Here is a 17,050-nt window from a genome sequence, read left to right as displayed (position 1 = left end):
TCAGTTTTTGTATCTTACTACTTTGAATAGTACCTGGGGATCTTTTAGGTTCCCTAAGCTTTGTGCCTGGTAATAATAATAATTAGGCTGTCATTAAAGGCTTCACACCTTGCAATCACCTTTTAGAGGAAGCTCTTTAGACCCTTTACAAGCAAAACCTCAATGTCCCCCTGCATTAGGTAAGATTTGTTTTGCATACTTTGTAGGGAGGGGACTTTTAAGGGAGTCAAAAAGATGAATTTTCCATGGTCATTATAAATCATATAGTCAAGCAGATCTTCCTAAAACAGAGGTCTACGTCATTGCCCTGCTCAAGTATGGTCAATAGCTCCCCTTGGTCTATTAAATACATAGTTGTTCACTGATTAAATATAGAACTTACATATTTCAAGTGTAGGCATCTAGGTCAAACTACATTAGGTTCAATGTTTATTCCATGTTTCTTTATAATTCTCTTCATTTCAAATGTTGGTGGGGAACCTATTCTGTATCTCACAGGGTGCCAGGTGCTGGGCAATATGAAGAGGAATCAGACACAGTCTCTGCCTCAAGGCAGGTGAATGTGGCAGAAGAAGAAGACAGACGAACCCGGACAACTGTCACCCAGAAAGACCATGACAAGTGCTCTAAAAGATGTAAACACAGCAGCGGGGGAGCAAAGAAGGATGCAATCAGTGTGTCTGTCTGTGGGGATCCAGCAAGGCTTCAAAAGAACTGAGCCGTGAAGGATGAGGAGATTATAGGCAGTAACTGAGGACTGGGAAGGACATGCAAACCAAGGAAAGAGCCCCAGCAAAGGCTGGGGGCAGGAAAGAATGCCACGTGCTCTGTTAGCCTGGAGCCGGCAGTGCATAACTGGGAAGAGTGTACTGGGGAACTTGGAACTTAGAGGAAGTCAGTGTCAGGATTTGGAACCCACTGAATTCCTGGTGGACCATGATGAGCCATGGGGGCATTTTTAGTATGCTAGTTACAATAGCGGGCATGTGCATGAGAAAGAAAAGATTGACCACTGGTAGAAGGTGATTTTCTCATTTCCTCATCCTCAAAGGTTAGAACTACCTACCAAACAGCTTCATTTCCCTAAATAACTTATTTGACGTCATCCTTTATTAGCTCATCATGCTGTCTCTCTTTAGAGTCCCCAGTCCTATTTGCCATTCCCAAAGTGGCAAAGTCTTCAAAGTGGCTACATGATTAGCTTAAGACAGTGGTTCTCAACTGACAGCAATTTTCTCCCCCAGGGGATATTTGGCAAAAATGTCCAGAGATGTTTTTTGTTCTCACAATTATGGAATTGTACCCCTGGAATCTCATGGGTGAAGGCCAGGGATGCCACTAAACATCCTACAATTCACAGAGCATCCACCCCACAAAAAAGAATTATCTGGTTCCAAATATAAATAGCATTGAGGCCAAAAAACCTTCCTTAAGGGGACTAGTGATTGGCATGCCAGGGACTGGGCACCAGGACCCTGCAGCGTCCCTCCCATTATATTACACTGAAGAAAAATTAAGTTGATTATCTTTTAAGACTTTTCATATTTTAAAGTGGGATATCTGAAGATGGGTGCTCATTAAAGTCCAGCAGTTAAGTATCTAATGGAGGAACTCCAGGTGGCTGACATCCCATTGGAAAAGCCTCCAAATGCTGCTCAAATTGTGCTCTAGAGACAGCATGGCACCTACTCCTCAAATTAATTATGACCCATCCCAGCTCATATTTTTGGCATACTTTAAGTCCTCTTACCATGTAGCCAAAACAGTCTAAGATTTACTTATTTTGGCTTTGTTTTGACACCGCAAATCAAGGAGAATGGTGTTGGACAGGGATTACAAATGCAAATGCTTCCTTGAGCCAGGCAGGGAAATGAATGAAGTGAGCCAAGTTGGGGAGAATGGGGAAGACAAACGGAACTAGAGAGACTGTGCCCTGTTAAAGGTGGCCACAGGGACTCAATAGGCAGCAGATTATTACCATGAGGAATTGTAGGCCTAGAGTGGCTAGATCCTCAGATTCTTTTCTCAAGGAAAAGTAGAAATATGGAATATATATATATATACACACACATATATGGGATATGGAATATAGTGACTTAGGGAAAAAAGGGGTAGGGTAAGAGTAGTGCCTCTGAGCTTGATCTGACTGACAGGCCACGGAGTGCCAGTGGAATCCTGGAGACAAGAGTCCAACCACTTCTCATGCCCAGTATCAATTTAGGGGCCAAGTCCATTTCCTCTACAAGACTGTTTCCTCATCTATTAAATGACAAGATTAGATGTGGTGATGGCTACAGACCCTTCTGGTTCTGACACTCTGTAACTCCATTTGACAGCAGGGGCTGGGGTAAGGGAGAGAAAGGACAGATGTCAGGTCTGGGGAGGCCCATTCTCTCCTCTACCTCCTATTACCTGTGATAGTGGTATTGGCAAGTTCCTTCCCTTCTTGGACTAGTTTCTCCATCTGCAAAATATGGGTGTTTCACCAAGGTTTCTTCTGGCTTTAACATTTTAGGTTTCTAGTGTAAAGCAATTCAAGGGGGTGGGGGGACCATCAAATTTATGATCTAAGAACAGATTGCTGACAGCTAACCAACTGGCAAAAATGCAATCAGAGAGAGGGTGCCTCTGTGGCTTTAGAAAGGCCTTATTTTTAAAGATGTTTTAAAAAATAATAATGATAATATTTTTTCATGTTTTCTAGCACAATTCATACAGAAGGCTCCAAAATAATCCACAGACTGTGTGTGTGGTGAGAACACACCCCAAAGAATGTAATTACCCACCCTGGAGTTCTGCCAGGTTTAACAGCATTTTCTATCTGCTTTTTTTTCTTCTTCTTCTTTCAGTCTTCCCTCCCCTCCTCACACAAATGACAGCATTTTCATAAGCTCTCAGCATTACTAGGTAATTAGGGAGCCATGCAAGTTCTGGAAAACACCCTGGGGCAGGATCAGTGCCTGAAAAAAAAAAAAAAGTCTATTCCACGATTCCATGGGGAAGCTTCTACGCAGCACCATTGTTACTGGTAGAAATTGGAGGCACTGACTATTCCTTTAAATCAGCAATGCCTTCAGAGAGGCCACCTGGGCCACACTCACATGGGCGGGTGGCCACCATGCAGCATTGGCACCAGCTCTCCTGAGAGGCCCTGCAGCTCATCTGGCCCTAGTCTAGGAGACAATAGAGCCAGACCTTCACCGCCATCCTCCCCAGATGGGTGGTTCTGGATGAGCTATTTAACCCCTTTGTCTCAATGTCTTCATCTGGGAAGTGGGGATAATGAGAGGTTATACTTTGTGGGGCTAGAGAGGGCATTAATGACATGCTCCATGTGAAGGGACTGGTGAATCTCCAAACACACAGAAATGACTCTGCCAGCCATTCCTGTACAGAGGTGTGAAATGTCATTATTTTTGGTTAGAGTCCAGAGTCATCCTGGCATTGGAGGCCTTCCCTGTTGTTCCAATCCACTTCAGAAAGCTTCTCCTATAGCTCAGTGTGCCAGTCTTCTATTAAGCCTATGTCACTTCCCCCACCCTCAAAACATCTGCCCATCAGGAATACACAAACTTCTGCTGCTGGTGCTCCCCAACCTGCTCCTTCCCTCATCCCTCCAATCTCCCTACATGACACCTTCATTCACCTGATTGTCAAGCTAAGCTAAGAACTCCACCTCCAACCCATTAGCAAATTCTATGGGCTGTACTTTAACAATATAGAGCCCAACCACTTTCCACCATCGCTCCACTCCAGGTCATTCATTCTACCCATATCTCTCAATCTTTATCAATTCCTTATTTCTACTCCTTTTGTACACCCTCCCCAGCAACGTAATTTGCTCTCTGTATGGCCACCAGAGTGAAATTTTTAAAAAGAAGTCAGACATTGTCACTCTCCGGCTCCAAAATATCCCAGAACTTCATCCATACTTAAAGTCTGCAATCTGGCAGCTGGCTGCCTCTTTCACTGGTATCCTATACCCTTCCTCATTGGCATCCTCTGCTGCAGTCACACTAGCCTGCCTGCTGTTCATTGGACACACTAATCACCATCTTGTCCCAGGACCACTGCACTTGCTCATCTTTCTGCCTGGAAAGCATCTTCTGTAGAAATCCGCATTGCTTTTGCTCTCACTTCAGGATCTGGTTGGAAGTCTTTTACTACATCCAGCCCACCTGCTGCCATGATTTTTATGTCCCTTACCCTGCTTTTCGCTTTGCAGCATTTGTCGCTACCTATGGTACATAGTTTATCATTTGATCCATTACTAGAATGCATCTTATCCACTCCAGCACTTAGGACAGCATCTAACACACAGTGACTTCTCAATAAATACATATTAAAAGGATAAATGGATGGTCCTTATTATTCCCTGAAGTACCTTTATTTCTCTTGATCACGTTTTAATTTTTTAAGAACCAATGCAATTCCCATCTTCCCTACAATGCTCTCCCATACTGATTTTGGCCTCTCTGAGTATCTGTATTACTTACTGATTTTAATTGACATTTAACTTGACTCTTTCCACTTGATTTTCAGCCTCTTAGGGGTCAGGAATCATGACTATAATGTGAGCTAATTTTTTTTTGAGCACTTACATGTGTCAGGCACAGTGCCAGGCTACATAACTGCCTCATTTTGTGTGATGTTCACAACAACTCTCTGAAGTATGAACACTTATTATTCCATTTACAAGTGGAGAATAAAGGGTTGGGGAGGTTATGTTACTTGCTCAAGCTTATACAGCTATTTAGAGGCAGGGCTGGAATTTCAACCTAGATCTGCCTGGCTTCCAAGGCTGGTTCTCCTAACCACTTTTCTATATTGTCCCAAGGGACATGGTAAATTTGGTAAAATCACTTTGGTAAATTTGCACTGCACAGGCCCTTGGCAATGTGTACAATACTTCCAGAAAGGTAAAGGGCCTTGCCTGGGGACACATGACCTAGCACCGAGAGTCCTCGTATGTAAAACCCCACCCTGTAGTGGTTCAGTCACACTATTCTCAGGAAGGAGCTCTGAGAAGCCATTCAGAAAGCATGCATAAGACTCAAAAAATGAATGTGTTTCAAAAAATGAATGTGCCTTGAAAGAGAAGAAGAACCAATGTTCCTCTCCCCACATCCGATAGCCTTCTTTGATTGAGGCCAAACAGTAATTATGGTGCTTCTTGTAGTCCCCACCCACCCTCGTGGCCAAAGGAAGATTTTAATCAGTTTTCAGGAGACTTGGAACATAAATGATTCTAATTTACTGTCATATTTCTAGTATTAAATTTTGCTGCTTGCCTAACCTCTGGCCTCTCCTTTATTACTCTAAGGGAGACAAAATCATGCAGAAGAAAAATAGAAAGGCTAGGAATGGGACATTTCTCACGTGAAAGAGAAGCAGGTAGAATGTCAAAGTGGGAAAGACATTTTGAGATCCTGGAGTCCAGCACCTTCAATTTAAAAATGAAGTAGGATCTCAGGTTAAGTCATTTGCCCTGGGTCACCCAGCCAGGTAGCAGCAGATCAGAGACTTGAAGCCCAAGCTCGGCTGTGTGAGTGGTATTGTTCATGTTCTGTCACAGTGAGACCTGACGCGAGGCTCATTTAAAGGGGTCAAAGTAATAGCTACAAAAACTACAGCTTTCAGAAACACAAGAGAAGAGGCCTAAGTTAGATCTTTTAACAAGAGAAGGGGCCTAAGTTCGACAGATCTTTTAGAAGAGGCAGATGGAGTCCCTGGAGAATGTGATCTGCCCACCATTCCATAGCTCATGCAGTAAGTTTTCCATGAAAGACTTCTGAGATAATATTTCAGCATAACAGACAGGGAAGGCCAAATGATTAGGCTACAGACCACTACTTGACAGTTCGACTGGTAGAATAACTCTTATGTAGGAATAAACACAGGCAAGAGTTTGTAGTGTCCTTAACATAGACTTTTAAATAAAGCTTACCTCTCCCCTCCTCTATGCCTCACCTTGCATTCCTTCTTTCCCTACTCTTTTCACCTCTTTTGTGGACCCTTTGAATAAAGTATTTCCTGAACTCCTCATTCCCCATTCCCACCCTTCTTCTATCCCAATGACTGCTGTGGTGGCTTCACATCTTTAGGACCTGATTCAATAGCTGCCTGCTCTGAGCTGGCCACCATGCTCCACCATCCCATTTCCATTCTCTAAGTCAAGCAGAAATAGCATCTTGGCTCTTGTAGAATGGAACAGTGTGTAGGCATGGCAAAAGGGAATCAGCCTCCTTGGGGAAGTCAAGGATGGTAATATAATAATGTCACTTACAGCAGCTACCATTTGCCATCATGTGCTGGGCACCAGGCTAAGTACTTTATACATATTAGACTACTCCTATTTTACAGGTGAGGCACATCTTGGTCTTTTAGCCTTCAAAGTCAATCACCACTCAGCTCTATATGCCACAGAAATCTTCTAAAAGCATTATATGTCATGTTATTCCCTCATCAAACCTGTAGAAATAGTATTATTTAACTCTTCTTTATTTAACCAGTGATGAGACTAACTCAGGAGGCTAAAGCACTAACCTAAGGCCACAGAACCAGCAAATGGCAGAACTAGATCTTGAGACAGGTCATTTCCTCCCACGTGACACTGCCAGTTTCTGCATCCCATCATGCCCCTCACTTTTTGAGGGGTCAGTAGTCTTCCCACTTCACCTTTCCCCTGACCCTTGCAATCAGCCAGTAGGCAATGCTTTCCACCTCTAACTCTTGAGATGAGGCTCCCAAGCAGGGCCAATAATCTCAAGAACTTCATTGATAGTATCTCATATTGAAAATCATATGATTTTTGAAGTAAACAAAATCTGATTCTACAATATTGTCTTTTATTATTTTTAGCGAAAGTATACCATTTCAACTATAGTAATGTCAACCTGGCTGGGATAGACTTACCTAGAAAACTAGCCACTATTTATTTACAGCACATTTTGCTAAAAACCTAACCACTATTTATTTATGGCATTTTCTAGCTGAATATAAGAAAATATACTCCCTGAACTCAAAACAAGAATGAGACTTCAAATCATTGGTAAACTATTTAAGGCATAAGACTTCTTTCACTGGGGGAAGGTGGGGTCTCTAGAATCTTCCTCACCAGAAGGTACAACAGCTGGTGAGAGCAATGTGGCACCAGCCTTTGACTCCAGGGGGATGGAATAGGCAAGGAAGTACTTCAGCAGGGCAAACTGGCATCTGGTACAGGTGCCTCGCTTTGCTCTGGAGTTAAATGTGAGGACATACCTCTCCAGCCCCAACTCTCCAGAGCCAGACCAAGACACACCATGACTGCCTGCACCCTCTGCCAGCAGCACCAGTTAGGTGGCTCAGTCAGGAAAAGATCCCATGAGCATTCCCCAAAATGAATGGGTTCTATCACTGCCTGTCACCATCACATGGCAGTCCTGGAACAGGTAAATTCCTAGGGTATCAGGAAGCCCTAACAAAGGGCAGAAGGGAGAAACTAAAACAGAGGCAGAGTCTGAATGGCAGCCCTAGAGTATTCTATACTCCCTCTGATATAGAAATGCATGAGGAACACTGGGTTCCTATGCAGCTTTTGGCAGGACAGACATCTTGAGAAGCAAAGGCAGTTAAGATCTATGGCCTGGGACATAGGTCTTCCTGGATGTCAGATACCCAGGTCATTGCCTCAACATTTTCCACGATGTAGCTCAGTGGGTCCTGCACCTTTACCACAACTGGGCTATCTCTCCCATGCACTTGCAGAGCTGTGGCTGTCTGTGTCTGTGATGGTCGAGCAGGGCACAGTGATCCACTGCTGTAAAGTTTTGGGGGAAGAGTTGAGTTGGGGAAGGACTGAGAACACCAGGTGTCTTTCTCCATAGACTCTTTCACTCTAAAGTGTTCCTTTTGCCATGGTTCTCAGCTTCTAACTTCCAATAGAAAGAGCCTCCTGTTCCCCTCTAAAGCTGACCAACCCCTCCTGCTTTGCTATCTCAAGGGCCTCCTCCTCTGACTCACCTTCTCTGGGAGAAATGGCTTCAGCCTTTCAAAGCACTGAAGCTACTTCTCCCAGGGGAAGTCCCACCAGCAGCTGGCCTGTCCCTAGGGGTTGTGATCTCACCAGAGGAGACAGAATGACTTGGCCTGGGAGGAGTGTCCTGGGAAATGAGGGCCTCAAGGGACTGACCAGGAAGTCAAGACACTATTTCTCCTCCACTGTAGGATCCTGTTCACTGAGGAGCCACAGTGCAAGAGAGAAAAGTTTCTTCCAACCTGACTTCAAAGACAATGGCAACAGAGGGACTAAGGCAAGTAGGCTTTTCAAGGGGGGGTCTCCACACCTGGGCTTACTGGGTAGAGCCAGAATATCAGAGGCCTGAACTATTTCCTCTTCAAAATGCCACCAGGAGAGCTCAGGCACAGGCAGTAGGCCACTCTGGCTCCAGTTCACACATATAACCCTTGGATGTCCTTCAAGGGGTGGGGGAGGTGGAAACAGTGGTCAGAATCCAAAGCCACAGCCTGAACACAGGCCTCCAGAATGTCTGTCAGGTGTGAGGAGACCAAGATGGCAGCTCCCTGTCCTCATGCACTTCCAGCCTGCAGGATGAGGGGAAGTGGGGGTGGGATGGGCAATGGTCCAGAGAAACAGGCTAGCCTTGACTCTTCCTGACTTCCACCCTTAGTGGACACAATTCTAGCATTTGTTGGCCTCTTCTCCAAAGTCCAAATTCTGCATTCTCTTCGGACTGGCCATCTTCTCCATGTGTCTCTAGGCTCTTTTGTATGAAAACCACCCTGCATAGCAGGCACGTGCTTCCTTTAGGTGCAAATTCGGTTCCTTACTGAAAACTGTAGTGTTGGAACCCTGGAAGGACCCTCTGAGGACCATTCCGAGAAAAGACAAGGGAATCTGGGGAGAGGGGTGGGGCTGAGAACTGAGCAAGAGTTTGAATTGGCAGCAGGAACTGCCAATCATACATGCTCTAGAGTGTGGAACTGGAGGCAGTCCCTAGACAGGAAGCCAGAACTGGAAAGAGTGGGTCCAACTGGAGCAAGACCTTTGACATAAGAAACTAAGAGAGGCTGCAGGGAAGAGTGCGGAGGATGCCTTGTGACTTCTGCTAGGGCATCTGGAGTGAGGCACCATTTCTCAAGGACTCCTTGACCACTATACAGATGGTCCAGATGTTAGCCTATTGACAAAGCCAAGCTTGCCAAATGTAACCCTCAAAATTATTAACTTTTTACCCAACTAATATTTAGAGTGTGGACTCTGGAGTCAGAGTGCTTGAGTTTGCAGACTAGCTCCAAGGCTTATTTGCCATGTGACCTCAAGCAGAGTATTTTAGCTCCCTGAACCTCCTTTTCCCACCTATAAAATGGGGATAATAATACCTCAGGAGCTATTGTGCGCATTAAAAGAAAAGCTACATGTATAGTGCTTGGCACAATGCCTTGTCAACAATTGACCTTCAATACATGTTCATGGTTAGCTACAATTTATTGGCACCTTATTTGGGTCAGTGCTGAATTGGATACTTGGAACCAGAAAAGCAGTTTCTATCTTGTATTTTCTATGACAAAAATAAAACAAGGACTTTAGGGAGCATGTGGAGATGCTTCTGTGCATCAGCTCCTAGGAGATACATCCCAATGATGGGACAGGAGGATGCAAGGTCAGCGTAGGAAGACAATGTGAAGGTTCAAAGAGGAAGTTTTGGAAACTTAAAGTGAATTTTCACTCAGGGCATGAGGGCAGTGGAGGGACTAGACATTCAAAGCTAGTTGATGGCATCCTTTACAGCTGCTAACCAAAACCTTCCAGAGCTCAGGACCTCAGTGGATTGGTGTCACACTTAACCCATGCAGCTTTGGAAGAGGTGGAGAAATGGTTCTGAATGACCTGTAACCTGTAGCAGGGAGGCCCACACAGGCCAAGACCTCATTTACTTTAGGCTAAGAAAACTGGGCTCAGGAAAGCACTTCTTTATAAAAGAAAGTGTGATGTTGTAGGTAAGATGTCAGGCTCCAGAGCCAAAGTCTCTGTTTGAATCCCAGCTCTGCTCATTACTAACTTTGGGACTTTTGGAAAAATCTCTTTATTTCTTAGTACTGTAGTTTTTTCATCTGTAAAATGGCAATTGTAATAATACAGACTTTAGAAATTTGTTTTGAGATTAAGCACTGTAAGTGTCTGACACATAGTAAATACTCAAATGTTAGCTATTATTATCAATGCTGCAAACTCTCATAGCCTCTTCTTTATCACAGCCTCGCATTCTCCATTCTTGCTTCTCACTGAGTTTTACCACCCACTTCCATGAGAGTTTCTGGGAAATATTTAAGCTGTTCTCTTTTTATCAGTGTGTATATCCCCTCCACTTGCAGTCAAAGGCTTTGTTTTTCTGAACTTTAATTCTAGCTTCCCCTCAAATGTAGCTTTTAGCCAAGGCAAAACTCAGCCTCCTGAGATTGTTTCAGCGCTGGTACTAATCACATGTTGGGATTCAAAAGAACACAAGCATTTCCTTATAATCTGAATCTAAGATATGTATGGTTTGTGGGATTAAACAATGTAGGTAAGGGTTATGACTTAGAGTAATTCTTTGCTAGGGATAGTGAGTGTGTGTGTGTGTGTGTGTGTGTGTGTACAGGAGAGAGACACACACACACCAAAAGAGAGAGAGTTTTTGCTCCCTAGGAGACATTTGGCAATGTCTGGAGATATTTTTGATTGTCACAACTTTGGATGGAAAGGGTTTGCTACTGGCACCTAGGGGTAGAGGGCAAGGATGATGCTCAACATCCTGCAATGCACAGGACAGCCCCACAACAAAGAATCTTCTGGCCCAAAATGTCAATACTGCTGAGCTTGAGAAACCCCAGTGAAGAGGGAGAGAGTCTGGAAAGACAGACTGATGCCAGATTACAGAGGACAAACCCAAATAGAATAATCAAAGGTTTTTGAACAGGAGAAGTGACATGTTCCATGCTATGCTTTAGAGCGATAACCTAGGAGACATAGGCAGGAGCCAGTCAGGAAGTCACCGCAATTACAATTAACCAAGTGAATTCCAGAATTAGGGCATCAAAAGAGGAAGTTAAAAGGAAGTGTTGAATAAGAATTTAGCTCTTATACAATTTCTCTATCACAAATCACCTCCTATTCCTACAAATATATTACTTGTAATTATATAAATATGGCCGATTTCTGAATCAAGAAGCATATTATGAATACAATATTTTTTCACCTATAGATCTTTATTTTTCAAGCTTAATACATTTCTTGCTTTTACATTTGTTTAATTGCATGACATAGGAAAAACATAAATTAACTTCAGATTGGCAGTTACTGTAGGGAGGAGTAAGGGAATAGGAAGGCATAGGGTTGTTTTAACAGTGATTGTAACATTTTATTTCTTGGAGAACAAAATGCCTTTGAATCCAATACAGCAGAAATGTTTGTCGTAATATTTTCAGAATTTTCTTATGTGTTTGAAATTTTCATATTATTTTTACTTTTTAATATAAAGAAAAGAGTTGTGAGATTAAACTTGAGCAGGGTAGGATTGGCAAACATTTTCAATTTGCTGAATGTGGAGAGTTAGAAAAGAAGGGTAAAAATTATATGCTAGTGTTTTTGGCCTAATACAGTAGGAACATAAAACTGATAATCAGGGTAAGAACTGTAGAAGGTAGAAAACATTGTGAGTGTGTGTGGGTGTGAACACGTATGCACATGCTGTTGGGGGGAGGGATTGCCAAGAAAAATGAGTAATGCTTGAGATATGCTAAGCTCAGTTTCCTGCAGTACATCTTTGTGGCCATTTGGCTGTGAGCAAGCTAGCTTGGAAATTCAGAATTAAAGTCAGAGCTAGTCTCAAAGGCTTAGGTAACATCTACTTGGGTTAGGAGTGAGGCATTGGAGCTGTGGGGGTGGGCAGTGTCTTCAAGGGAGAATGCAGAGTGAAGAGACAAAGTCTGAAGATCAAGCCTTGGAAATCATCAATATTTGAGGGGGTAAGGAAAAATATATATATTTAAAAAAACAAGGAGAGATTTCAGGAGCCGGAAGAATACAAAAAAGAATATGTTGTCACAGAAACCAAGGCAAAGAGGATTTCTGAGAAGGAACGTGTGGACAATGGTGTTAGAGGCTATGGAGGAGAGCCACTGGATTTGACTATAAATAGTGCAGTGGGGAAGCCTTAAGAAAGTAAATTCACTAGAGTGAGGGGCCTCTCATTTATTCACTCAAAGCTATTTATTGAGTACATACTTGGTTATTGTCCAGTGCGAGGATCTGAGGAAATAAGCTAAACAGGGTTCTCTGCCCTCCAGGAGCTCACAGTCTAGTGCTTATATCTATGAATCAATAGCCTGTAATGTGGCAATTTATTGTTTCTATGATAAAAGCATGCACAGGGTATGATGGGGTCATATCAGGAAAGGATTCTTGGAAAAGGTGACTTCTGAGCTGAATTGATGAAGCTAAAGAATGAAGGATGAATAGGAGTCACATGTGAATGGAGGATGAAGGTTAATGGAAAAGGAGACAATTTTCTATGCAGAAGGATCAGCATGAGGACAGCCTTAGAGCCAAGATAAATCATGGTGAGATTTCAAGGAGCCAGAGTAGTTTGGAAAGGTTTGAGTGGCAAAGGATGAGTCCTGGTGAGCTGTGCAGGGGCCAGGCCAGGAGGTTCCTTTTGTGTTCCAGTGTAGCATTTGGACTTTATCTTAAAATCCACCAGTAGCAACTAGAGCTATGTAGTAAAGAACTTGCTTAATGTGCTCAGTTTTACAGTTTAATACAGGTGCATAGAGAAGCCCGTGTCTTTAAACCACTGTGTCTGCCATTTAGCAAATGCTTAAAAATATTTGTTGAATTAATGAAAAAAATTAAAAGGAATCTCAATCATTCATTCCAAAGTGAACTTATAAAATGGAAGTGTAGAACACAGAGAAAGTAAGATAGTTCAATTTTTTGTCTATTTCCCCATTTCAAAACCTAGCCACGTTTTAGTTATATAAATACATATTCATTTTAGCAAATGTTAGCTCATGAAAGTATGAGAAAAGTCGTCACTTAAAAACTTCTACTGAAACAACCATTATCAACACTTCTGTGACCATTTTTTTCTGCATTTCTTTATACAAACTAGACATTCACATATTTACATTTATATGGATGAGATCATAGTTTATCTGTTTTATCATGGATATACTTTGTATTGCTTTTGTTGAGAGTGGAGTAGAGAAATACTGAGCACATATATCTGTTGAAAGAACTATCAAATGGAGGAAGACAAATGAGAGATCCAAGAGAAGAGACATGGAGATATAGTCAGCAAAATCCAGAATATGGAAATCTCTGCAGAACAAATTACCAGTTTCTTCAACCAATAAATTGCACAGGAAATTTGTCAATGGACATATCAACCAAATGCAATATGCATACCTTGTTAGGATAGTGATTGGAATAAATAATTTAAAAAATTAGAATAATGTAGAATATTTAAGTCCTGACAGGATAATTGACATAAAAGAAAACTATTACATAAATGGCCTGATGGAGCTGAAAAACACAACACGAGAACTTCACAATGCAACCACAAGTATCAACAGCTGAATAGACCAAGCAAAGGGAAGAATTTCAGAGCCTGAAGATTATCTTGCTGAAATAAGACAGGCAGACAAGATTAGAGAATAAAGAAAAAAAAGGAATGAACAAAACCTCCGAGAACTATGGGATTGTGTAAAAAGACCAAACCTACGACTGACTGGGGTACCTGAAAGAGACGAGGAGAATGGAACCAAGTTGGAAAATGTACTTCAGGATATCATCCAGGAGAACTTTCCCAACCTAGCAAGACAGGCCAACATTCAAATTCAGGAAATACAGAGAACACCACTAAGATACTACATGACAACATCAACCCAAAACACATAATTGTCAGATTCTCTAAGGTTGAAATGAAGGAAAAAGTGTTAACGGCAGCCAGAGAGAAAGGCCAGGTTACATATAAAGTGAAGCCCATGAGACTAACAGTGGACATTTCAGTAGAAATCCTACAAGCCAGAAGAGATTGGGGGCCAATATTCAACATTCTTAAAGAAAATAATTTCCTGGCCAGGCGCAGTGGCTCACGCGTGTAATCCCAGCACTTTGGGAGGCTGAGGCAAGTGGATCATGAGGTCAGGAGATCGAGACCATCCTGGCTAACATGATGAAACCTTATCTCTACTAAAAATACAAAAAATTAGCTGGGCGTGATGGCACGCACCCATAGTCCCAGTTACTCAGGAGGCTGAGGCAGGAGAATCGCTTGAACCCAGGAGGCGGAGGTTGCAGTGAGCCAAGATCGCACCACTGCACTCCAGCCTGGGTGGCAGAACGAGACTCTGTCTCAAAGAAAAAAAGAAGAAAGAAATAAAAGGAAGAAAGAAAGAAGAGAAAGAAAGAAAGAAAGAAAGAAAGAAAAAAAGAAAGAAAGAAAGAAAGAAAGAAAGAAAGAATAATTTCCAACCCGGAATTTCATATCTGGCCAAACTAAGCTTCTTAAGTGAAGGAGAAATAAAATCCTTTTCAGACAAGAAAATGCTGAGGGAATTCATCACCATCAGGCCTGCTTTGCAAGAACTCCTGAAGAAAGCACTAAATATGGAAAGGAAAAACCATTACCAGCCACTACAGAAACACACTGAAGTACACAGACCAGTGACATTCTGAAGCGACTACATCAACAAGTCTGTAAAATAATCAGCTAGCATCATGATGACAGGATCAAATTCATACATAACAGTATTAACCTTAAAAGCAAATGGGCTAAATGCCCCAATTAAAAGACACAGAATAACAAACTGGATAGAGTGAAGAACCCTCTGTGTGTTGTACTCAAGAGACTCATCTCACATGTAAAGACACAAATAGGCTCAAAATAAAGGGATGGAGGAAAAAGTATCAAGCAAATGGAAAGCAGAAAAAAGCAAGGGTTGCAACCCTAGTTTCTGACAAAACCAACAAATATAAAAAAAAGACAAAGAAAGGCATTACATAATGTAAAGGGCTAAATTCAACAAGAAGAGCTAACTGTCCTAAATATATATGCACCCAATACAGAAGCACCCATATTTATAAAACAAGTTCTCAGAGACCTACAAAGAGACTCCCATGCAATAATAGTGAGAGACTTTAACATACCACTGTCAATATTAGACAGATCATGAAGACAGAAAATTAACAAAGATATTCATAACTTGAACTCAGTTCTGGATCAAGTGGAATGGATAGATATCTACAGAACTCTCCACCCAAAAATAACAGAATATACATTCTTCTTGGTGCCACATAGCACTTACTCTAAAATAGATCACATAATTGGAAGTAAAGCACCCCTCAGCAAATGCAAAATAACTGAAATCATAAAAAAACAGTCTTTCAGACCACAGTGCAATCAAATTAGAACTCAAGATTAAGAAATTCACTCAAAACCATACAACTACATGGAAATTAAACAACCTGCTCCTGAATGACTCCTGGGTAAATAATGAAATTAAGGCAGACATCAAGAAGTTCTTCAAAACCAATGAAAACAAAGAGACAATGTGCCAGAATATCTGGGAGGCAGCTAAAGCAGTGTTAAAAGGGAAATTTATAGCACTAAATGCCCACATTGAAAAGCTAGAAAGATCTGAAATCAACATCCTAACATCGCAACTAAAAGAACTAGAGAACCAAGAGCAAACAAACCCCAAAGCTAGCAGAAGACAAGACATAAGCAAGATCAAAATGGAGCTGAAGCATATAGAGACATGGAAAACCCTTCAAAAGAGTCAACAAATCTAGAAGTTGATTTTTTGAAAAAAAAAAAAAATACATAGACTGTTAGCTAGACTAATAAAGAAGAAAAGAGAGAAGAATCAAATAGACACAGTAAAAATTATATAGGGGACATCATCACTGACCCCACAGAAATAAAAACAAAAATCAGAGAATACTATAAACGCCTCTATGCAAATAAAAGGAAAATCAAGAAGAAATGGATGAATTCCTGGACACATGCATTCTCCCAAGACTTATCGAGGAAGAAATTGAATCCCTGAATAGACCAATAACAAGTTCTGAAATTGAGGCAGTAATAAATAGTCTACCAACCAAAAAAAGTCCAGGACCATATGGATTTACAGCTGAATTCTACCAGAGATACAAAGAGAAGGGTAGCGTACCATTCTCCTGAAACTATTCCAAAGAATTGAAAAGGAGGAACCCCTCCCTAACTCATTTTATGAGGCTGGCATCATCCTGATACCAAAACCTGGCAGAGATACAATGAAAAAAGAAAACTTCAGGCCAATATCCCTGATGAACATCGATTCAAAAATTCTCAATAAAATACCGGCACACCGAATCCAGCAGCACATCAAAAAACTTATCCACCATGATCATCGAGTTGGCTTCATCCCCGGGCTACAAGCCTGGTTCAACATACACAAATCAATAAACATAATTCATCACATGAACAGAACAATAGAAAAAAAAACAAATGATTATTCCAATAGACAGAGAAAAGGCCTTCTACAAAATTCAACATCCCTTCATGTTAAAAACTCTTAATAAACTAGGTATGAATGGGACCTACCGCATCATAATAAGAGCCATTTATAACAAACTCACAGCCAACGTCATACTACATGGGCGACAGCTGAAAGCATTCCCCTTGAAAACTGGCACAAGACAAGGGTGCCCTCTCTCATCACCTCTATTCAACATAGTATTGGAAATTCTGGCCAGGGCAATCAGGCAAGAGAAAGAAATAAAGCGTATTCAAATAAGAAGAGAGGAAGTCAACCTGTTTCTGTTTGCTATTAATATTTTATGTGTGATGATGTTGTGGTTATTTTTAATAGTCCTTTATAGAGACATTATAGTATATATGGATGAAGTAATAATGTTTGAGATTTGCTTCAAAATAATCTGGTGGAGGTGCGTGTTGGGTATCTATAGATAAGACAAATGTAGCCACGAATTTGTGATTGTTGTAATTAGGTGAAGGCTATA

The sequence above is a fragment of the Homo sapiens genome, chromosome 5, assembly GCF_000001405.40.
Source record: "Homo sapiens chromosome 5, GRCh38.p14 Primary Assembly".
NCBI classification, from domain to species: domain Eukaryota; kingdom Metazoa; phylum Chordata; class Mammalia; order Primates; family Hominidae; genus Homo; species Homo sapiens.
The sequence above is the reverse complement of the archived record's forward strand: the minus strand, read 5'-3'. Positions refer to the sequence as shown.